This window comes from Homo sapiens, chromosome 17 (assembly GCF_000001405.40).
Source record: "Homo sapiens chromosome 17, GRCh38.p14 Primary Assembly".
Taxonomy (NCBI): Eukaryota; Metazoa; Chordata; class Mammalia; order Primates; family Hominidae; genus Homo; species Homo sapiens.
In genome coordinates this window covers 63,183,182-63,208,388 of record NC_000017.11, presented here as the reverse complement: position 1 = coordinate 63,208,388, position 25,207 = coordinate 63,183,182, and the positions used below count along the sequence as shown (strand labels likewise).

General features: G+C 36.2%; 1 protein-coding gene across 21 annotated transcripts in view; it reads right to left on the bottom strand.

The window, feature by feature from the left end:
* Positions 1 to 25,207, bottom strand: part of TANC2 (tetratricopeptide repeat, ankyrin repeat and coiled-coil containing 2) — a 461,469-nt gene that overhangs the window by 219,315 nt on the left and 216,947 nt on the right. For all 21 annotated transcript variants that reach the window (XM_011524597.3, NM_001394998.1, XM_006721810.4 and 18 more), the window contains 2 exons: positions 14,250 to 14,398; positions 7,432 to 7,618 (listed from right to left, as the gene is read on the bottom strand). In XM_011524597.3, the coding sequence (XP_011522899.1) occupies positions 7,432 to 7,618; positions 14,250 to 14,398 (336 nt within the window). The remainder of the gene's footprint in view (positions 1 to 7,431; positions 7,619 to 14,249; positions 14,399 to 25,207) is intronic.

The window sequence follows — 25,207 nt, the reverse complement described above, 5'->3', positions numbered from 1 at the left end:
GAGACTGATTTACCAATGGATTGAATAAAAGCTCAGAAAAAGACCTAGAATAAAAGCTCAGAAAAAGACCTAGACATTTATGCTTTTGGCAGCAATACACTGCATGCGAACATGGTAATGGAACTAGTTATTTGTATAGAAAAACATAAATTTGTACTCTTGTACCAATTCTAGGTGATTTTAAGGACTTAAATGACAAAGCAAAGTTTCACAAAAATATAAAATACAAAGGAAAAAACAAAAAAACTTGACTACATTAAAATTAAGGCTTCCTATTAAAAAATAAAGATTTCCTTCAAATCTGTAAGGAAAAGAAAAATCACATTAGGAAATGAGCAAAAACTTGAACAGGTATTTCACAAAAGAGGAAACCTAATTGGCTAATAAACATGTGAAAAGATTGTTTAACCTCATCAGTAATCAAGAAAACACAAATTAATATCACAATTAGATAACTTTCATATCATCCAGATTGGCAAAATGAAGCCTGACAATATCAAACATGGGAAAGATCTATAGCAAATGGAACATTTTATAGTATATTGCTAGTGGCAGTATAAACTGGTATAGTTTCATAAAAGATGAAATTATTTTATAAAGTTGAAAGAGACACATTTCTAATAATCTGACAATTTCACTTCTAACATTCCGAATCATACATATGACTAACGACACAAGCCCAAGAATAATCACAGCAGCACTATTTGCAAGAGCAAAAATCTGGAAACAACTCAACTTTTCATCAACAGAATGAATAAACAAATGTGCTATATTCATACAGTAGAATATGATATGGCAATAAAAACAAGCAGACTAAAATGCAACAACATGAATGTATCTGAGGTACATAACAGTAAGCACAAAAGAAATTTGTGGCTGAGCGTGGTGGCTCATGCCTGTAATCCCAGCACTTTGGGAGGCTGAGGCGGGCGGATCACGAGGTCAGGAGATCAAGACTATCCTGGCTAACACAGTGAAACCCCATCTCTACTAAAAATACAAAAAATTAGCCAAGCGTGGTGGCGGGTGCCTGTAGTCCCAGCTACTCGGGAGGCTGAGGCAGGAGAATGGCATGAACCCGGGAGGTGGAGCTTGCAGTGAGCCGAGACTGCGCAACCGCACTCCAGCCTGGGCGAAAGTGCGAGACTCTGTCTCAAAAAAAAAAAAAAAAAAAAAAGGAAAAAAAAAGAAATTTGCATAAATATGCTTTCAGGTATATGAAATTGAAAACATGAGATCTAAATAATAAATTATTTAGGGATACAAATGTGGCAAAATCATGAAAGAAAGTACTGGAATGATAATCACAAAATTCAGATGACCTCTCAGGGTAGGGTATGAATAGAGAAATGGGAAGAGATACAGAAGAAGGCTTTAGCATATAAGACAGGTCATTTTTGTTATAGGGTAAGAGAGGTAGTCAGGTATTTGCTATATTCTTATTGTCTATACCATATACATATTAATAAATATTCTTTTAAAAATGTTTTACTGTGGTAAAATATACACGACATAAAATTATTTTAGCCATTTTTAAGTGTATAATTCAGGGGCACTAAGTATATTCACAATGTTGTACAAACATCAACATTATCCATCTCTAGAACTTTTCATCATCCCCAACTGAAATTCTGTATCCATTAAACAATAACTTCCTATTTCCACATCCCACCAACTCCCCACGCCGCTGCAGCCCCACTCAGTACTCTCTATTCTACTTTTTGTCTCTATGATTTAGCTACTCTGGTATTCCATTTATATGAGTGGAACCATATATATCATACAATCCTTTTGTGTCTGGCTTAACTCAGCATAACATTTTCAAAGTTCATCCATGTTGTAGCATACATCAGAATTTCATTTCTTTTTAAGGTGAATAATATTTCATTGCATGTATATATCATATTTTGTTTGTCCAGTCATCTGTCCATATTCATTTGTATTATTTCCACTTTTTGGCCGTTGTGAAAATGCCACTATGAACATCAGCATACAAGTATCTGTCCAAATCCTTCCTTTCAATACTTTCAGGTATATACTTAGAAGAGAAATTGCCGGATCATATGGCAATTCTATGTTGAACTTTTTGGAGAACTGCCATACTCTTTTCCACAGCAGCTGCATCATTTACATTCCCAGCAGCAATGTATGAGAGTTCCAATTTCTCCACGTCCTTGCCAACACTTGTTATGTTCCACTTTCTTTTTATAATTGTCATCCTAATGGGTATAAAGTAGTGTTTTATTGTGGTTTTGGTTTGCGTTTCCCTAATGACTAGTAATGTTGAATATCTTTTCATGTGTCTATTGGCCATTTGTATATCTTCTCTGGAGAAACGTCTATGTAAGTCTTTTTCCCATTTTTGAAATGGTTTGTTGTTGTTGAGTTGTAGGGGTTCTTTATATATTTTGGATATTAATCCCTTATCAGATACATTATTTCCAATATCTGTGGGTTGTCTTTTTGCTTTTTTTTCTTTTTGAGATGAAGTCTTGCTCTGTCACTCAGGTTGGAGTGCAGTGGTGTGATCTCAGCTCACTGCCACCTCTGCTTCCCGGCTTCAAGTGATTCTCCTGCCTCCTGAGTAGGTGGGATTACAGGCTTGTGCCACCATGCCTAATTTTTATATCTTTAGTAGAGATGGGGGTCTCGCTATGTTGGCCAGGCTGGTCTTGAACTCCTGAGCTCAGGTGATCCACCTGCCTCAGCTTCCCAAAGTTGTGTAACCTGTCCCAAAGTTACAGGTGTGAGCCACAGTGCCCGGCCTTTTTGCTCTCTTGATAGTATCATTTGATGCACAAAAGTTTTAAATTTATGTCAAGTCCAATGTATTATTTTCTTCTGTTGCCTGTGCTTTTGGTTCATATCCAAGGAATCAATACCAAATGCAATGTCCAAAGATTTCCTCCTATGTTCTCTGTTCCTCTCCTATATCCAATCCATGAATACAGGATGTCTTTCTATTTAAGTCTTAAAAATGTCTTCTGCAATGTTTTGTAGTTTTCGGTGTATGAGGTTTTTTTTTTTTTTTTTTTTTTTTTTTTGCCTCCTTGGTTAAATTTTGAGCAGTTTTACAGTTTTTAACTACTATGTTTAGGTCTTTAATCCATTTTAATTTTTGTATATGGTAGATGGTAAATGACCAACTTCATTCTTTTGCATGTCAATATTCAATTTTCCTAACGCTAATTGTTGAAAAGACTGTCCATGCCACATGGTCTTAGGACGCTTGTCAAAAACCATTTGACCATATATGCAAGAGTTTATTTCTGGTCTCTTTATTTTCATTTATTTATTTATTTTTGAGACAGGGTCTTGCTCAGTTGCCCAGGCTAGAGTGCAGTGGCTTGATCTCAGCTCACTGCAACCTCTGCCTCCCAGGTTCAAGTGATTCTCCTGCCTCAGCCTCCCCAGTAGCTGGAATTACAGGCTCCTGCTACCACGCCTGGCTACTTTTTGTATTTCTAGTGGAGATGGGGTTTCACCATGTTGGCCAGGCTGGTCTCAAACTCCTGACCTCAACTGATCCGTCTGCCTTGGCTTCTCAAAGTGCTGGGATTACAGGCATGAGCCACTGCACCTGGCCCCCTATTTCTGGTCTCTTTATACTGCTTTGATTACTGTAGCTTTGTAATAAGTTTTGAAATCAGGAAATGTGAGTCGTCCAATTTTGCTCTTTTTCAAGACTGTTTTGGCTATTTAGAGTCCTTTAAGATTCCATATGACTTTTAGGATGAGTCTTTCTTTCTTTCTTCTTTAGGATGAGTCTTTCTTTCTTTCTTTTTTTTTTAGAAACAGAGTGTCGCTAGGTTTTCCAGGCTGGACTTGAACTCCTGGCTCAAATGATCCTCCTGCCTCAGCCTCCCAAGGAGCTGGGACTACAAGTTCACGCCACTATTCCCAGCTGGATGTTTCTATTTCTGCAAAGACTACTGTTGGGATTGTGATAGAGATTGATTTGAATCTGTAGATGGCTTTGATAAATATTGTTATCTTAACAATAGCAAGTCTTCCAATCCATGAAGACAGTATATCTTTCCATTTAAGTCTTAAAATTTCTTCTGCAATGTTTTGCAGTTTTCAATGTAGAATTTTTTTTTTTTTGCCTCCTTGGTTAAATTTATTCCTATTTTATTCTTTGTGATGCCACTGTAATGAAACTGTTTCCTTATTTTTCTTTTTGGATTTTTCATCTTTAGGATATACAAATACAACTTGTTTTGGTGTTGATTTTGTATCCTGCAACTTTGCTGTAAAAATATTTTTATTTACTCAGTATTTATTTAAAATGAATGAATCCACACACCGATGTGCATTTATGTAAGTTAGGGATACACTTTGCAGTCACGGCATTAACATTTGCCACAACTTCTAAACAAATAAATATGTATTTTTTATATCTACAGAAGGAAGCCAAATGTGGGAAAAATATTTACTTTTATTCTTTAATCATCCTCATTTTCCTTTGTCTTCTCAACTTTCGTCATTTGTTAAGCAACCTTTCCACACACCTTCCTTGGAACATGTGTCTCCCTTGGCTTTGGTGGCATTGCACTGCCCTAAGTTTTCTCCTATTTATCTGACTACTTTTTTTTTGGTGTCCACTGGCTCATTCTTCTCCCACTTCCAATTCCCTGCTCTTTGAATGTGCTCTAAGATTTTGTGCTCAGTCCTCTGTTTTCTTCTCTTTGGATTTGCCTTCTTTAGATTATTCTTTTCCCAAAACTTCACCTATTTCCATTTGAATGACTCCCTTAACAAGTATACAATAGGCAGTGAGCATATGAAGAGCTGCAGAACCTCTACACTAATCAAAGAAATGCATATTAAAATGAGACAATTTTATAACCATCAGATTTACTAAAATCAGAAAGTCAGATGACACAGGTCTATAATCGCATATATGAAACTCTGAAGATGTGTTTCAAAATACAGAATGTCTCATATTTTAAAAAAGTAAAAAGGCACAGATACTGTATATGGCACAGGGAATAGTATCCTGTAACCGAGTATATTAACATTTCTACAATAAAATGTATAGATATTCATATTTAGTAGGATAAAGACTGTAAGTAGCCTCATCTTAGCTCAGGTAAGATTTTACAGCCAAATGAATTTGATGTAAATTTATATTTTAAAAAACTTACGGTTTTAAGAGTTTTCAGATTTTAGAACTGGGCTAGCTAGTGTCAACAAAGAACGAGAAAAGGGAAAAGAAGCTTTATATACTGCTGATGAGAATGTGAATTACTGTAACTATTCTGGATAATAATCTGGGAGTATTTCATGAAGTTAAATAATCATATGCCCCATGACTCGGTAATTCCAGTCCTAGGTATAAACTCCAGAAAAGGTTTGTACAAATGGTAGAGGAGTTGGAAGCAACCTAAGTGTTCGCAGGTAAAATGTGAAGAATATTTACATCATCAGAAGCAAGAAATTTGGTGTTCATATAGATTTTAAAAAGCAGAATATAAGATCTGTATTAACATGCCACTTTATAAATTAAAATCACAAACACACACAAAAAACAACATATAATATTCAAGGACACATTAATATTCAAGGACTTATATAAATATAATAGTATGGCTGCAATGAAATGGGATTGAGGATAAAGGGAAAAGTAATAAACTGAGAGGAGCTTTGTACAGACCAATCTGTATATACTGAGGAGTATTATTAATTCAGCTCTCTGCACCTGGGGCCCAGAGCGATAGAGGAAAAAACATAATCACTTTTGTCTACCTATGTATAAATATAAGCCCATACATTCACATGTGCAATATCATAGATGATGGAACACATTCATTCCCCATTTATGCTCTGCTCCTAAATACTTAATTGGGGTTGGCATATACTATAATTTTGGGAGTCTGAAGAGAAACCTAGCCATAAATAACTTTTAATTAAAATTATTCTTATTACCACCTATGTTCTTTCCTCTTCTTTATTCTACATAAAGCTGCTGGAGGCTATGACACTGTCATCATCTGGTTGTTAGGTAGAAAAGGAATACCCAGAAATGCCATTTATGTTTTGGACAGAAGCCCAATTTCCATTTTATCTTCTCACAGAGTATAAATATATAGTTTTATACTATTCTTAAATTCTTATTTCTGACTAGAAAATGTACACAGACTTATTTGTCAAAAGGAGTCTATTGGTAACTCCATTATTAAAGGAAATGCAATTTTTTTAGCATTTTGTAAATGACAATGGTATAGAATAATGTTCAATGTCTGAATCATTATACAACTTGATAGCCATAAAAACTGAGAAGCTCCAGAACTATGTTCTTCCCCTACTCTTCTTATCTCCATACCTAACTATAAGAAGAGCATTAGAACAGTGTCCCAAAGAGTAATCACAATACTTTAATATTTTCTAGTTGTCAAAATGCATTAATAGGAAATATTACTCAAGAAAGATCACTCAAAATTTTGAATATGATGAAAGATTTCCTGAGCTAGAAATATCCTATGATTTTCATAGCAAGAGGTGTTGAATCATAACAATACATATAAATGATGATGGCCTATCTCCTGAACATGAATGAGCCCTCCAACAGTCCACGTCTGGCTCTGATGAAATGTTTACCTAGAGTCTACCGGAGATAATAAATTACATAATGTCCCAATCAGCATTGCCTTTATCAGAGTGGTTTTAGTTTCTGCTGCAAACTGCTAATTGGGTTGAAGATTATTTAGAAATATTTCTAGGACTAAGTAGTCAACTAGGATCTTTGGTAAAAAAAAAAAAAAAAGGTATAAGAAAATTCACGAGGGGAAAATTAAATGGAAAATTTCTTTGCTTGAATACTTCTAAGTTTCAAGTTCTCTTTATGCCCAAGCTTGCCATAAAAATGTATTCGTATAAGGTTTCAAATCATAAGCAAAGAAATACCATTTTTCTACTTTGCAGAAGGTAAAAAACAGGGCTGTCTTATTGACAAGAAGAAAAACAAAGTCTAAAGGGGCTCCCAAAACTAATTAAATAACTAATATATGGTTTGCACAAATAGACCCAGAACAACTCAAATCATAACTCTTTCGCCACTTAATCTAATCTCACCTTTCTTTCATAAAACTCTCGACTATACCAGTAAGGAATGAACTTTTTCTGAACTACTTCTGTTGGTAGATAGTTGATGTACGTGCATTTACAGGAAGAAGTGGACAGAAGTTTTTTTTTTAAATCCACTCCTTCTTATCAGGGAATATCCTGATAAGGAGTGGTTAAGTAGGGAGGAATACCTTTCATTTTGTTTACCCTTAGGTTTCTCTCTCCAGCATCATTAAAAAGACCAGGAAAGTTTTATATATACATCTCAACAATTCAAAAGCAGAATTTTTAAAAACCTTAAGCTTGTGTAATTATTTTAAAAAGGAAAAAAAGGACACAAAATTATCAATATAAAAACCAACTCACCAATGATGCCACTATCTCTGCTTTCAAGGGTAGAGGTTGGACTAGTAACAGCCCCATAGCTGCAGTCCTTGGCAGTTGCATTTGTACTGATGGGTGGGAGTGTAGAGCAGGGGCTACTGGCTGGTGGAGAGGCAGTGCTGCTAGTCAGAGTGGAACAAGGACTTATCCGCTGGGTGATTGCTGAGGTCTGAAAAATTGGAATCATGAATAAGTAAGATAACCTGATCAGCTGTTAAAGTATATTTTAAGATAAAATAAATGCTTTGATGAAAAAAAAAACTACATGCATAGCTTTTACATCTATTAGGCTCTATTTGTTTTTGCTTTCTCGGATAAGGACTTTGGGGTCTACAAATTAATGTGAAACTTGATGAACTTAACATTAACAGAGACTGTTGCCAGTTTTTCTGCCTACAAAATTTCCAGTGACAAGTACCCTATCACTGCCATTCATTAATAGAATAGAGAAATTTTTTATTAAGCACAAGTTCTCCCTGCTATTGCAAGTTTTCCTTGCAATCAATAAAACTTTTTGGAAGACCTGGAACTTTGCCTTGTTAATAATTTTCTTTCTTTCTTTCTTTTTTTTTTTTTTTTTTTTTGAGACAGAGTTTCATTCTTGTTGCCCAGGCTGGAGTGCAATGGCACAATCTTGGCTCACTGTAACCTCCACCTCCCAGGTTCAAGCGATTCTCCTGCCTCAGCCTCCCAAATAGCTGGGATTATAGGCATGCGCCATCACACCTGGCTAGTTTTGTATTTTTAGTAGAGATGGGGTTTCACCATGTTGGCCAGGGTGGTCTCGAACTCCTGACCTCAGGTGATCCACCCGCCTCAACCTCCCAAAGTGCTGGGATTACAGGCATGAGCCACTGGACCCAGCCAATAATTTTCTTTAGATGGAAGGGAAAAAAAAAATCTCTACAGCTGGGAAGAAATAAAGTTCTTAATGCAAGGAAGTGTCTTTTCGATACATAGGCAGCTGTCCAGAGACAATACATGAATGCAGAGAAAAATGCCTTATTCTAAAAGTTTGTCTAATAAAACAGAATTAATATTAGTTTAATACAAACCTAAATAACTTCTCTGTAACAGCATTACAGCCTGAGATCACTTTGTATCCTGAATGATTCTTACACTTGAAGCTATTTACTTTTTAAGTTTTGATGTGAAGGAATGAATAATTACTAAAAAGGTTGGTGGTAATATATTCTGATTTACCTAATTTAATGACAATTCACTTTTCTTCAACTCTTTCTACACAAATAAATTACTACAATAGTGAATAAAAGTATATTTTTTCAAACACTAAAAACATTTTATCCTTTTTTTTTTTTTTGAGATGGAGTTTCACTGTGTCGTTCAGGCTGGAGTGCAATGGCACAATCTCAACTCACTGCAACCTCTGCTGCCCAGGTTCAAGTGATTCTCCTGCCTCAGCCTTCCGAGTAGCTGGGATTACAGCCGCCAAATATCACGCCTGGCTAATTTTTATAGTTTTAGTAGAGACGGGGTTTCACTGTCTTGGCCAAGCTGGTCTTGAACTCCTGAATGTGTACTTCCCACCTCAGCCTCCCAAAGTGCTGGGATTACAGGTGTGAGCCACTACACCCGGCCAACATTTTATCGTTTTTAAAATTATTAAGTGATCAGCAGCAAAATTACTTGAAGACGCACTAATGATAAATTTAACATCTTTAAATGTTAAATTTAAAAGAAGCCTTTCAACTTCTTTACAAATAGAGTCTCTATTCATACTCTTTCTGCTAAAATTTAATAACTGGAGAATGTGTTGATAACTAGCTATGAGAATATTAAGGCTCTTCGACTCATCCTAAGATGATTCCTAGATGCAGTCCCTTGTGTTTAATCATCTCTGTTGAATCTAGGTTTTGATTTTAATTTAAATACTATAACCAGGTTACAAAAGATAAATTTGACTCAACCAAAAACAAGTGACATTCTCATTACCCTCCAACCAAGTAAATCTTTTCAATCATATCAATAATATTAGAATCTAATTTTTCTTAACAACACAGTAAGCTCTCAAACGTATCCAAATTTCTCTTCTACTATATGTTATCTCTCCAGAGAAGAGGAGAGTTTCAATTTTTTAAAATCTCTATTTTTATAATATGATGCTGGTCTACCAGAGCAATGATTTTTTTTTTTTTAACCTTAAAATCTTTTTTCCCTTACAGAGCAATTATTCCTAACTAGGCACACAGTAATATCACTTGTGACATGGAAAAAACAAACATGCAAGCTCTCTTACAAAATTGACAGATACTGAGCCCCCACTCCAGACTTATTGAATTGGAATTGGAATCCTTCAGGTTAGAAATGTGGCAAACGATTTTTAACCTCCCACTCCCAGTCTGAGACACATGTGAGTAGATGAACTGTACTCAGGTCTTTTACATTAGATATAGCTATAGTCATTCCATATTGCAAAAGTTTTAGGCCCAGCATGGTGGCCTATGTCTGTAATCCCAGCACTTTGGGAGGCTTGAGGCAGGCGGATTGCTTGAGGCCAGGAGTTTGAGACCAGCCTGGCCAACATGGCAAAATGCCATCTCTATTAAAAATACAAAAATTAGCTGGGTGTGGTGGTGCATGCCTCTACTCCCAGCTACTCAGGAGGCTGAGGCATGAGAATCATTGAACCCAGGAGGTAGAGGTTGCAGTGAGCCAAGATCGTGCCACTGCACTACCGCCTGGGCAACAGAGTGAGACTCTGTCTCAAAAAAAAAGAAAAAAAAAAGAAGAAAAGTTTTATTATGATAGGAATCTATTACTTTTATAACAACTCATTTCTGTTCTAAGATTCTCATTCTGTTCTTTGTGAAAGAAAATCATATTATATGCATAATATAGACAATGTGGAGGTTAAGCCCAAACAGCACTTACTTATTTTTACTCTAAGTTATTTTGTGCAAAATAAAGCACATATCAGAGAATGTGTATCTTAAAAGCTTTAACTGTAAACGCAAAGCTTAAATATCAAGCCATTTAGAAAACAGAAAATTGTTCATGGCTTATGACTTAAAAGGCAGGCCTCATATTTACTTAAGGAGACTAGTTAATGAGCTAGAGAAAGACAACTATTTATTCTTCATGCTGTAGGCTAAAATGGACGTCTATTTAAGCCACTGCACTTCCTAAACCTTTCAGTGTTTTTCCCATTGCCCTTAATGTTCTCCAGAAGGATCCTAAGAAAGCTCCCAATCTGGATCTCTTAAAGGTCCTACAAATACACAACATAAGAAGCTAAAGAGGAAATTCATAAGGTCCATTTGAATACCTTGGAAACTACTGAAAGAATAAAGGGGTCAGGTGAATATCACTTTCATGCTTTGTTTTTTTTGCAGAAAAATGATGTACGCTGACTTGCATTAGATTCTGTCATTACTATTTTGAGAATATCATCACTACATGATCTGCCTAAGCATAGCAGTTTATCTTTGTTAATACACTGTTTAGCTCAGAAAAAAGTCACCAAATTAACATGACCTCCTACTTCTTCATAATCTTCCTGAGACCAGAAATTCAAATGATCAATTTAGCCACTTTCTTGTGTGGTTCCAAGATAGTTCCAGTGTATATTATACTGCAAGAAGGCTATCATTTAGCTTCATTATTAATATTTTAAATTTGTATAAAGCTTAACAATTTAAAAATATTTTTATATATTATCTCATTTACTCCTTATCAACCTGGTATGAGAGGCATAATGTATGTTATTTCCCCCACTTAAGAAATGTGAAAATGAAACCAATGAAAGTACGAAAGCTATGATGTAATTTCCCCCAAATCACACAGTTCCTGCATATATTTATATACTAACTATACTGCATATTATTTTATACTTTTTATTTATATGACATTTTACAGCTTACAAAGTACTTTCATATTCATGATTTAACTTGATCCTTTCAACAACCCTGTCAGGTGTTATTATTTCACATTACACTGGAACAGTATGGTGTGGCTGTTAAGAGCATAGATTATAAAAGCAGACTGCCTGGATATGAATACCATTCCATCACTTTCTGGCAGTGTGTTTCCATATCTTATTTGAAAATTGGAATATGAATGAACTCTACTACACTGGGTTGTGAAGAAGCTTAAACAAAACAGTGCAAGTAAAACAATTAGTACAATAATTGGTACACAGTAGGTATTTAATAAATGTCAGTTATTATTACCTATGAAAAATATAAAGCTCAGAGAGGTTAAGTGACACATCCAAATTTACAAAATGGTAGGTGGCAGAGTTGGAACTAGAACACAAATTTTCTCCCTCCTGGTTCAATGGCTTTTCTATTACACCATATTGCTTTAATTAAATCAATGATACTACTCATTTACTTAAGATTATGTTATTCAGTAATGTACAAGTAAGGTGCACTCCATAGACTTGTGACTTTATGCAGAAATCACTGTGACATGCGGAATCTCAAGAACAACAAGTACAAATTTTATCATCCAAGGAAATGTAGCTGTGTAGAAATGACAGAGTCCTTGAAAAATATTCGGGTTATAAGATATGACATCAAGTTACCTGGTCATTACTATAACAGTCACATTTTAACTTGACATGAATATCAAGAAATGAAAGGTGAAATAGATGTTTTATTGCTCCCAATTTTAAAAAATCCCTCAACAATATTGTTCCCATTTTTTATTCACAGAGCAGCACAGCATATTGACATAGTTACAATGTAAATTGATTTAAAAAATCATCAGATCTGACATCATGAAACACACATTCTTGTCATAAGGTAAAACAACCCCACAACTAAACATGTAATGTAATATCAGTTAATGGTAAGAGCTATGAAAAAATAAAGTAGAAGCATAGGGGTATATGGATGGGCAGGTGCAATTATTAGAAGAGGAATTAAGTAAGACCTCTCTGAGGAGGTAACATTTAGGCAGAACACTGAATAAGTGAGGAAGTGAGTTATGGGGGAAGAACATTCCAGTAAAAATGAATATAGCTGATGTGACTGGCGAACGACAAGGAGGCCAATGTAGCTGGAGAGCCGTGCGTGAAAGGGAGAGGGGTAGGAAGTGATGTAGGAGAGGTAGCAAGTGGCTAGATCAGGTGTAGCCTTCTGGGCCACAGTAAAGATTTTAGATTTTATTTTAAGTATGATGGGAATACAGTAGAAGATTACAAGCAAAGTGACAGAACTGGATTCATATTTTACAAGGATCACTCTGGTTACTGTGTGAACAGACTACAGGGGGGCAAGAGTGGACACAGAGACCTATTAGGAGACCATTTATTCATATAATAAATACCTACTGTGCACCTAGTAATGACAGTAATGTTCTAGGGGCAGAGGATACGGCAACGGGTAGAATAGGCAAAAATCCCAGCCTTCCAGCCTTACATTCTAGTACCTATTGCAGTAGCACAGGCAAAAGATGACAGTGGCTTGGACTTGGGTATAGCAGTGGGAATAGTGAGAAGGGATCAGATTGAGTACATATTTTGAAGACAGGGTCTACGATTTGCTGAAAGAGTGAACGTGGGTCTGATGGAAGTCAAATGGCTCCAATGCTTTTGTCCTAAGCAAGTAGGTGATACCATTTACTCATATGGGAAACACTGCAGAAGGCACAGGTTCTAGGGAGAAATCTGACATGTTAAGTTTGAGATACATTTTAAACATTAGGTAGAAAATATAATGTGGGAAGCTAAATATACAAATTTCAAGTAAAGGGGAAAAGGCAGGGCTAGAGATAATTTGGGAGTTAAGATAGTATTTAAATAATGTGCAGCTAGCAAAACCAATAACCTAAGGAGTGAGGCTTGAGGACAGCACCCTGGAACATCTGAACTTATCCACACAATATATAAATATATTCAAATAATCCTTGTATATCTCATTGTAACAAAAGTAGTATGTGATATAGACTCTTCACTAATATTTATTAATAAAATATGCAATTTAAAATTAATTTGTCATCTCCTGAATAAAATGCTTCACTATCAGACATTCACGCTGAAGATTAAGATCATACAAATGAATCTGACTCTAGTACTTTTTTTTGCTACATTTAAACTGAAAAAAATGAAAATAGCAAAAAGAAAGAAAACTATAAAATATTTTTTAAATTGTAGATTTTTTTAACTTTCTGAGACGGATACTTAGAAAATCCCCAAATATTTAGATATTGAGTAATACACTTCTAAGTAGCCTTTGAGTCCAAGAGGAAATCACAAAAAAATGAGAAAATATTTTAAATTGGAATAAAAACTAAGTATAAAAAAACTTGTAGGATATAGCTAAAGATGTGCTTAAAAAGAAATATTAGTTTTAAATGTGTATTTCAGAAAAGTAGAAAATCTGAACTAATGATCCAAGTAATCTTTTAGATCCCACTTTCTAAATTATCATTTTGTAATTGATAAATTCCACTGTGGTCACAGTAACTGGAATCTTTGGAAATTTGTCAAGACCTGCTCTATGGCTCAGCATATAACCAATTCGGTAAATAATCCACATGCACTTGAAAAGAATGTATATTCTGCAAATTTGGGGTGCAGTGCTTATATACGTGTCAATTTTATTTGTTGGCTTGCTCGTTCATTCATTAAATCAATCAAAACCTAAAAGTGGCTTTTTGGGTTGTTAAATCTAAGACTAAAGCTAAAAGATTATTCATAAACTGAAGAAATAATAGTGATTATGGAAAGTTAAGTTGTATTCTAGGCCTCAAAAGGCATTCAACAATTGGGATTATTTCTGGCATAATAAGCTGATTCACACCATGTTTCACAAAGGTGATAGCAAACAGCTTACCTGATTTTCATCCTGTACTTCCATGCTGTATTGGTCACCTGGCTGAACTTCTGTGACTTTCTCTCCAAGGAGGAAACCCAGACGAGTCATGAGTGTGTTTGCTGCCTCATCTACAGATGGAGGGGGGCCAAGCTCCTGTTCAGCATCACCTGTAACAAGAAGGCATTGAAGAACATGAATCTTTCAAAATAAAATGGTCTAGTTCTGCAACTATTTGTACATTCACTTTGGTCATTTCTTTAGTTTTCACATTTTAACTCAAAAATTACAAAGTTATGAGGTTTTTCTTGGACTACTCACTCCCAATATAAATTCGCTTCCAAGTAAAAAATTTACACGAATCAAATAAAAATGAGCCAGGGAACTCAAAATGATTATAAATGTGAGGCAGAAAAAAAATTTTACCTAAAATGAGTATCTGTTTATGTTAGGTTGACTTACCGTCCATATTTATTCAGGCTTTGTTCTAAATTCAGAGCATTTAATCTCACCTTGTAACAATCCACAGTAGCACAGATTTTAAAGGACTTTACAAAAATCTTTTTATGGGGTCAGATATATCCATTAGCATTACAAGCATTAACTGAAGTGTCATACGGTTTGATGCCAAAACAACAGCATCACAAAACACAATCATATCCTATTATTTAGGATATTCAGTATTACACAGTAAACCACTCCAAATGCTAAGAAGGTAAGATCTGCATTGTTATTATTCCATTTAACATTTATATCAACTTCTCTAATAAAGTCACAAGCTGGGGGTCAGAGATAGGGTATATGTGTATTTTTGTGTATTAGTACTGAACTCAAGTTCCATCTGTGAAAAATCTCTACAAAACTCTCACTGAATGTATGTCAAGGTAGAAAAACAAGGCTCTATTTTTCCTCTCCTATTATCCTCCCAGAGGCAACATAAATAGATTTCTTTGCCACAGAACAGAAATAAGAGAATCAGTAGGGTTATTTTTATGTTATAAACATTTAGATAACTTATTTTTTTCTCAAGAACAATTGAAAGCTTCTTATTCCTTGATAAAATGAAAAGGCAAAACTGGTCTCTTCAAATTAATGAGTAACACTTTCCTCCCTCCTAAAGGTTAAACTAACTAATCTTTTGCAAATTTTTCTCATTGTAGATTCCAGACCTCTAGATATTCTGGGGCTCTATTTCACTGTCTCCTACAAAGTTACTCTGATAATAAGTGTTTCCTATGTACATGGTTAACAACAGATACGAGAATTTATACAACACGGAGATATAGTCATTGACTTTGAAAAGTTTATAATCTATATGGAAAATAAGAGTATATATTTATTTAGCATATACTTACATAATGCTTATGATGTACAAGTCACTAGTGTAAACACTTTACATATATTAGCTTAACCTTCATAACTTTAGATTCCACTTTCTAAGGTAGAAATTATTACCCTCATTTTACAGATGAGAAAATAGAGGCACAGATACATTAAATTATTTGCTCAAAGTAATAAAACCAGTAAATGGCAGAGCCAGGATTAGAACTTGAGCTCCCTGACTCCAGAATCTATGCTCCCAATGAGCACAACACAGTGTCTTCCTCACTGGAAAGAAATATTACAAATGGTGAGAATGTCTGAATAAGAGATAACTTGTAATAATAGGCATATTGCTCATAGCATGTTAATCTCAATAATCTTAACAAAGCATGTTGTAAACACTAAGTAAGGTAATCGAATGGAGGTTCTTAAGAGACAGATAACTGCAACCCTTTCTACATTACTACTTTCAGTACTTCCAAGTACTAATGCAGAAAGAAGTTCAAGAATTCTTCTGTGAGTGGCTATATTAGATACTGCTACCACACCAGGTCCTTTTCATCTGGTTTGACTGGTATTTTTTAAACCTTGCTAAATCTACTTTTTCTTTCCTATTTACTTACCTCGTCTCAAAATATCATTTGAGGATGACATTAATATATTATCTGTCGTGCACTCTATAACGAAAGAAATCCGATACCAGGTTATGATACGAAAAAACTATCTTTGGCAATTACATTTGTTTTGAACTTTTCTTATTTGTTGATCTTGAGTAAAATTTTACACATTATGAAAGGCCTAGTAGATGAATTAGTGGGGGCTTCTCAAATAACAGACAGGGACCTAATTGCGAATCCCTCCATCTTAAGTCTTAGATTATCAACGGCTGCCTCTGTCTCCTCTTCCTGAAAGTATGCCAGGATTTCTGGTGGAATAAAGTAGAAACAGTAGAGGCACTTCCTTTCTGGTTTCTAGATTACAGACTTAACTGTCAGTAACCTCTTCCCTATTCCACTTTCATTTCCTATTTTAAAATAAATTAAAAATAGTTACTTCTGAAAACAAACAAGGGTGGGGCCAGGCGCGGTGGCTCATGCTTGAAATCCCAGCACTTTGGGATGCCGAGGCAGGTTGATCACTTGAGCCCAGGAGTTCAAGACCAGCCTGGGCAACGTGGTGAAACCCCGTCTCTGCAAAAAATACAAAAATTGGCTGGGTGTGGTGGCGCGCGCCTGTGGTCCCAGCTACTTAGGAGACTGAGGCAGGAGAACTGCTTGAACCCAGGAGGCCGAGGTAGCAGTTAGCCATGATCATGTCACTGCACTCCAGCCTGGGCAACAGAGCAAGATCCTGTCTGAAAAATAAATAATATATTTTTTTAAAAGGTGGGAATATCTGAAATATATTTTGAAGTTGCTCTGTAGGACCAGATGAACAGCTTCTCACTTGCAGGAATTTATTAGTTTGGTGCAAAAGTAATTGAGGTTTTTGCCATTATGGCACCATTAAAGGTAATGGCAAAAACCACAATTACTTTTGCACCAACATAATAGTGTATTCAAATACTGTATGTTGAAACACAAAGCCAGGTCCTCCCCTCCAAACCATTTCATTTAAAATATGCTTAAAATGTCACCAGGTCACGCATTTTCATTTTTTTCCTACTTAGTGTACGTTGATTCTGCATTCTTCCTTAAATACTACCATTTTTCTTCCCTTTTTGTTTCATTTCTACTTCCCACTTGCAAGTAACTGCTACGATAAAACCTCTCTGCCTGCAAAATGAAAATTTACCAGGAGAAAAAAGTCTGGCCAGTGGAATAAAGATAGCCTTTTTCCCCCTCATTACAATTAACAATAGGGCCATTTGAAGATCACTAAAAGGGAGGATTTAATGGAAATAGTGGTAGCTTAAGAGAGAGAAATCAGTGCTAAATTATCAGGGTTATTGGGTTCTTAATTTTTAAGAACAGAGAAAGTGATTTAAAAAAATTTAAGAAAATTCTTTGACATACTTTAAAGATTGTCTGGTCTTTGGAGGCAATGTGTATTTTAGAATGAGTTTCATCCATATTGTGTGTATCAAATCTTCTTTTTTTGCAGGGGGGAGGGTGCATTATGGTTTTCCATGTTCATGGTTTGGAAGACAATTTTGTTATGATATCAATACTCCCCAAATCAATCTACCAATTTAATGCAATCCTTATCAAAATTCCAGCTGCTTGCTTACTCGCTTCCTTTCCTTCTTCCCTTATTTTTGCAGAAATTGACCAGCTGATCATAAAAATTATATGGAAATATAAGGGGCCCAAAATTAAAAAACAACCTTTAAAAAGAAGAACAGAGTTGGAAGACTCACATTTCCTATTTTCAAAATTTATTACAACGCAACATTAATCAAGGCAGTATGGTACTGGCATCAGAATAGACCAATGAAATAAAGAGTCCAGAAATAATACTCTTACATTATGGTCAATTGATCTTTTTTTTTCTTTTCTAGGACAGGGTCTCGCTCTGTTGCCCAGGCTGGAATGCAGTGGTACAACCATGGCTCACTGCAGCCTCGACCTCCTGGGCTCAAGCAATCCTCTTGCCTCAGCCTCCTGAGTAGCTAGGGCTACAGGTATGCACTGCCATGCCTGGATAATTTTTTTAAAAATTTTTTTGTAGAGATGGTGCCTCATTATGTTGCCCAGGCTGGTCTTGAACTCCTGGGCTTAAGCAATCCTCCCACTTCACCCTCCCAAAGTGCTAAAATTACAGGCATGAGTCACCATTCCTGCCTTGGCCAAATGATTTTTAACAAGGATGCAATGACAATTCAATGGGAAAAAATAATCTCTTCAACGGTGTTGGGACAACTGGATAACCACAAACAAAGGTATGAAGATGAAGCCCTACCTCATATATCAAAATTAACTAAAAATGTATTGTGGACCTAAATGTATAAGCTAAAACTATAAAACTCTTAGAAGAAAACATGGTAGTAAACTTTGTGACCTTTGGTTAGGCAATGATTTCTTAGATATGACACTAAAAGCACAAGTGACAAAAGGAAAAACAGATAAATCAGACTTCATCAATATTAAGAAGTGTCATGCTTCAAAGGATACCATCAAGAGAGTGAAAAGACAACCCACTAAATGGGAGAAAATATATGTGAATCATGTGTTCAAGGGACTTGAACCCAGACTACATAAAGAACTCCTACTACTCAACCATAAAAAGGCAAATAAATGAATTAGAACATAGGCAAAATACTGGAATAGACATTTCACCAAAGAGGGTATACAAATGGTCAATAAGTACATGAAAGGATGTTTGACATAATTAGTCATTAAGGGAAATGCAAATCAAAACCACAAGGAGATATCAAGTTATATCCACTAGGATGGGTAAAACAAAAAAGACAAGCAATAAGAAATAGTGAAATTTATTGGAACCTTCATACAATAATGGTAGCAATGTAAAATTGTGCAGACACTTTGAAAATAGTTTGGCAGTTCCTCAAGATGTTACACATAGAGTTACCATGTGACTCAGCAGATCTACTCCTAGGCATATACCCAAAAGAACTGAAAACACACATCAACTTGTACATGAATGGTCATAGCAGTGTTATTCATAACAGTCAAAAATAGAACCCCACTGTCCCTCAAATGGTGAATGGATAAATAAAATGTCATATATTCCCATTAGGGAACATTTGGCCATGAAAAAAAAAGAAATACTGATACATGCCATAAAATGAAAGAACACTCACTGAAAGTATTGTGCTAAGAAAATCAGACACAAAAGACTACATATTGTGTGATTCCAATCATATGAAATGTCTGGAATAGGCAAATCTGTGGAAATAAAAAGTAGACAAGCCATTGCCTAGGACTGGGTTGTGTGGGGAGTGACTGTGAATGGGCACGGGACATTTTTTTTTGGGGGGGGGTGATAAAAATGCTCTAAAATTAGTGGTGATAGTTACACAAGTCTGTAAATATACTAAAGTATCACTGAGGTGTACATCTTAAAAGGATGTATTTTTTGGTATGTGAATTACATTTCAGTATAGCTGTTATTAATAAATATGAAAACCCCATAACAGTACAGATAGAACCATGTACCCATCACCCAGTTTTCCCAAAGGTAACATTTTACATAACCACAGTGAGTTATATGGGAAAATGACACTGGGAGAATACAATTAACTAGACTACAAACCTTATTCAGATTTTGCCAGTTTTTTTTTTTTTTTTTGGACAGAGTCTCACTCTGTCACCAGGCTGGAGTACAGTGGGGCTCAGCTCACTGCAACCTCCGCCTCCTGGGTTTAAGCAATTCTCCTGCCTCAGCCTCCCCAGTAGCTGGGACTACAGGCGCCCACCACCATGCCCAGCTAATTTTTTGTATTTTTAGTAGAGATGGGGTTTCACCATGTTGGCCAGGATGGTCTTGATCTCTTGACCTCATGATCTGCCCACCTAGGCCTCTCAAAGTGCTGGGACTACGCCACTGCACCCAGCCAGATTTTTTTTTTTTTTTTAAGAGATGGGGTCTCAGCTTTGCTGTCCAGGCTGTTCCGGAACCTCTGAGCTCAGGTGGTCCTCTCAAACTCAGCACCCTCAGCACCCTCAGCATGCTGGGAATACAGGTGCATGTCACCCTGGCCAGCCTGATTTTGTCAGATTTTGCCTGCACTCATTTGTTGTGGTTGGGGTTTTTTGGGTACATTTTGTGTATAGTTCTGTGAATTTCCATGTGGTATCATTTTTCTTTTGCCTGAAGAAATTTCTTAGACATTTCTTGTAGTACAAGTCAACTGGTGATAAAGTCTTCCATTTTTTATATGTTTGAGAAAACCTTCACTTTGCTTTCATTTTTGAAATATGTATTTTTCAGGGTATACCATTCTAGGTTGATAGTGTCTTTGTCTCAGTAATTTAAAGATGCTATTCCTAAATTTGAAAATTAAAGAATTTAAAAAAGGATGCTGCCCCACTTGTCTTCTGTCTTGAATTTTTTTTTCAAAGAGAAGTGTGCTGTCATCTTTGTTTCTCCACTGTCTGTGATTTTTCTGACTGATTTTAATAGTTTTTCCTTTATCATTAGTTTTAAGCAGTTTCATATTGTGTCTTAGTGAAATCTTCATGTTTCTTGTGCTTAGGATTCATTGAACTTCTTGTATCTGTGGGTTTATAGTTTTCATCACACTTAGAACATTTCTTCAAAAAACACATATGTGTATGTGTCTGTATATACACAAACACACACATATATGTATATATATATATAAAAAACATAATTTTTGGTGGTTGTTCTCTCTGGGGCAGATTATAACTTTTATTAGCTATAATAATAGCTAGCTATATATGGCAATTAAGTATACCATTAACCAAATCTGAGTAAGGTCTGTAGTCTAGTTAATTGCACATGCCAGGTACTATTCCTAAGCATTTTACCTATATTAACTAATTTAATCATCAAACTGCCCTACAAGGTAGGCAATATTATCCATACTTTACAAATAACGAAAATAAAGCATACAAAGAATAAGTAACTTACCAAATTCATATGGCTAGTAAGTGGCTGAGCCAGGCAATCTGGCTCTAGACCTCAGGCTCTTTACTCCTAAGTTATACCGTCATCTCCAAGTCCAGTCTCTCACCATATTGCCAGGCATCAGTCCCCAGCTCCCCTCTGCCCACTGAATTTGCTCAAAACTCTCAAAATTTCTCAAGTCATCATATCAATTATTTGACCTATATGTTTGTCTCATCCATGACCATCCAGGTGATATGAAGAGGGTCTCATCTTCATAACACAATACACTCCAATTAAGATATGTCCCTAAACAAAGACAGTACTTTCCTTGAATGGAATTCTGTAACTTCTTTAATAATGACGACAACTTTGAGGTATGAGAAACAGATATCTGGTTGTTGAAAAACAATCTCTGTGAGACTGTGATACACAAAATAAATCATACAGCACTCATGCATTATGCTGATTAAAACTATTTAAATTTGTAGTTCTTGGTTTTATTTTGGCTCTTTGTAAGCAGTGTGTTTACGCATTAGGCTACGCTCCCAGAAATCTGGTTGAGGAATATGTCACCATAAAGACTAAGGGATTATAAGTTTTACATGGAAATGGAAAGATCCAAGAATAGTATAGAAGACTCGAAGAAAGCCCGGGTGCGGTGGCTCACGCCTGTAATCCCAGCACTTTGGGAGGCTGAAGCGGGGGGTGGATCACCTGAGGTCAGGAGTTTGAGACCAGCCTGACCAACATGGTGAAACCCGACTCTACTAAAAATACAAAAAATTAGCCGGGTGTGCTGGCAGGTGCCTGTAATCCCAGCTACTCGGGAGGCTGGGGCAGGAGAATCACTTGTACCTGGGAGGCGGAAGTTGCAGTGAGCCGAGGTTGCGCCATTGCACTCCAGGCTGGGCAACAAGAGTGAGACACTGTCTCAAAAAAAAAAAAAAAAAAAGAGAGAGAGAGAAGGGCATACTGCTTAATATCGAGATTAATATAAAGCTAAAGTAATTAAGACACAGCTAGACAAAAGCATAGATAAAAAGGTGGTCAATGGAACAGAGTTTAAAAATCCAAAAACAGATCTCTCTCTATATATAATCACCTGATTCAGAACAAAAGTTTCACTGCAGTGTTTCAGTAACATGAGAGTGTTTTCAAGTATTGGTGACAGATCAATATGATATCCATATGGAAAAGTAAATCCTGTCCTTAAAAGAATAAGTTTCATATAGATTATAGACCCAAAGGTAAAAAGTGAAGCAATAAGTCTTCTGGAAAACGACCTTTTAGTGTAACTTTATGACCTAGAACTAGGTAAATATTTCTTACAAAGGCCCAAAAGGCAACAACCATTAAGAAAAAAGATTGGCAAAGTCAATCTTTTCACCAAAGACACCATTAAGAAGGTAAAAGGGCAAGCCATAGAGTGAGATAACTACTACAAATCAACAAGAAAGACAATCCAATTAAAAAATAGACAAAAGATCTATACAGGATTTACAAAAGAGAATATCCAAATAGCTAATAAGCACATGTAAAGGTGTTCAATATTATTGGGAAATGCAAATCAAAACTCCAATGAGATACTGCTACACATATACAGTGCAGAATGGCACACAAAACAAACAAAATAGCATCTGACAGTAGGGGGCAAAGGAACACTGAAACACTGCTGTGCTGATGGGAATGTAAACTGGTAGCATCAAATTTGGATAAAAGGTTTGGCATTTAAAAAATGTATGGTTTCAAATTTGGAAAATGTTTGCCATTTTACAGAAACCATATGACTCAGCAAGTCCACTACTAGTTGTATAAAAAAAAGGAAAAGTATACTAATAGGTGCATCAAAAGACACATAACAAATGTTCATAAAACTGTTCATCATAGCCCAAGTTGAAAATGTCCATCAAGGCCAAGTGCAGTGGCTCACGCCTGTAATTCCAGCACTTTGGGAGGCCGAGGCGGGTGGATCACTTTAGGTCAGAAGTTCAAGACTAGCCTGGCCAACATGGTGAAACCCTTTCTCTACCAAAAAAATACAAAAACTAGCCGGGTGTGGTGGTACATGCTTGTAGTCCCAGCTATTCGAGCCTGGGTGACACGGCAAAACCCTAGCTCCAAAAAAACATTTTTTTAAAAAAGAAGCCAGGCCTGGTAGTGCACGCCTGTAGTCCCAGCTACTCAGGTGGGTAAAGTAAGAGGATGGCTTGAGCCTGGGAGTTCAAGGTTGCAATGAAACATGATTGCACCACTGTACTCTAGTCTGGGTGACAGAGTGAGACCCTGTCTCACACTCTGTCCCCAACCCCCCCTCCAAAAAAAAAAAACCGTATTACTGAACAAAAGAAGATAGTTTCAAAAGAATACATAGGGCTGGGTGCAGTGGCTCACACCTGTAATCCCAGCACTTTGGGAGGCCGAGGTGGGGGGATCATCTGACCAACATGGCGAAATCCCATCTCTACTAAAAATACAAAAAAATTTAGCCGGGTGTGGTGGCAGGCGCCTGTAATCCCAGCTACTCGGGAGGCTGAAACATGAGAATAGCTTGAACCTGGGAGGCGGAGGTTGCAGTGAGCCGAGATCGTGCCATTGCACTCCAGCATGGGCGACAGAGCAAGACTCCATCTCCAAAAAAAAAAAAAAAGAATACATACTAAATGATTTTATTTATATAAAGTTCAGAAATTGGTAAAACAAATAATTGATGATGGCAGTCAGAACAGTGGGTATGTTTGTAAGGGGAGGATAATGATGCAGAGGAAGCATGAAGGAAGCTTCTGAACTGCTGAAAACATTCAATATCTTAATTTGTGTTCACTTCATAAATTTTCATAGCAAGGCATAACTGTTATTTGCATTCCTTTCTGTATTTATAATTTCTACAAAATTACAAAAAATGTATTAAAAACTTAGGGCACTGACCTTGAGAATGAAACAATATTCTCAACAATACTTGTTTATGCTTTTTTACTCTAAGAAACAAGTCTAGAATTATGAAAAAAACAAATAACACTACATATTTAAGCTATATATTTTAATACTATTTAAGTTGCTCAGATGAGGGATACTAAATATCAGCAAACTTACTACTCTAAACATTTAGATCTTTCATTTAAAGTTCCTGTCTTATAAAGACATAATATTAGAAATCAAGAGATTTCAAGGAAATTATATATGAAATATGTTATGTTTTAAATAGATCTTCAACTAATGAAAACTTTTATCTATTTTTTCCCACTCAGGAAAGACTGCACCAAACACATTTGCATTTCTTTTTTTTTTTTTGAGACGGAGTCTCGCTGTCGCCCAGGTTGGAGTGCAGTGGCGCGATCTCGGCTCACTGCAGGCTCCGCCTCCCGGGTTCACGCCATTCTCCTGCCTCAGCCTTTTGAGTAGCTGGGACTACAGGTGCCCGCCACCTCGCCCGGCTAATTTTTTGTATTTTTCGTAGAGATGGGGTTTCACCGTGTTAGCCAGGATGGTCTCAATCTCCTGACCTCGTGATCCGCCCACCTCGGCCTCCCAAAGTGCTGGGATTACAGGCGTGAGCCACCGCGCCCAGCCTGCATTTCTTTTTTTAAAAAACAAATGACAAAGACTCAGTTTACCAGATTTACTTAAATTTTAAAAAATATTTTATATATTTAGGGAATACAAGTTCAGATTTCTCACATGCATGTATGACACAGTGGTGGAGTCTGGACTGTCAGTGTACCCATCACTCGAATAATGAGTGTGCATTATACGCAGCAGGTAAATTTTCGACCCTCTCAAACTTTAGTTTTTAAATTTCAGCTTAACATTACTAATTTAAACCACTGTCAAAACTAAGTTGCTAGCATTCATCCACAACTAGAAAACATCCTTTATTTATATTAAACTAGAAATGTATTACGACGAATGCATTAATATCTTGCACTACTAAATAGAGAAAAAAATAGAAATTATTTCTGTGGAAGATTCATGCTGCCATGCTGGCAATGTTAACTTCACTTGACAGAAAAAAATAGGAATTATTTCTGTGGAAGATTTATGCTGGCAATGTTAACGTCACTTGACACTACACCTGGCTCACATTTCAGACACAATGGAAAAGCAGATCCATGCTGGTGTTAAGT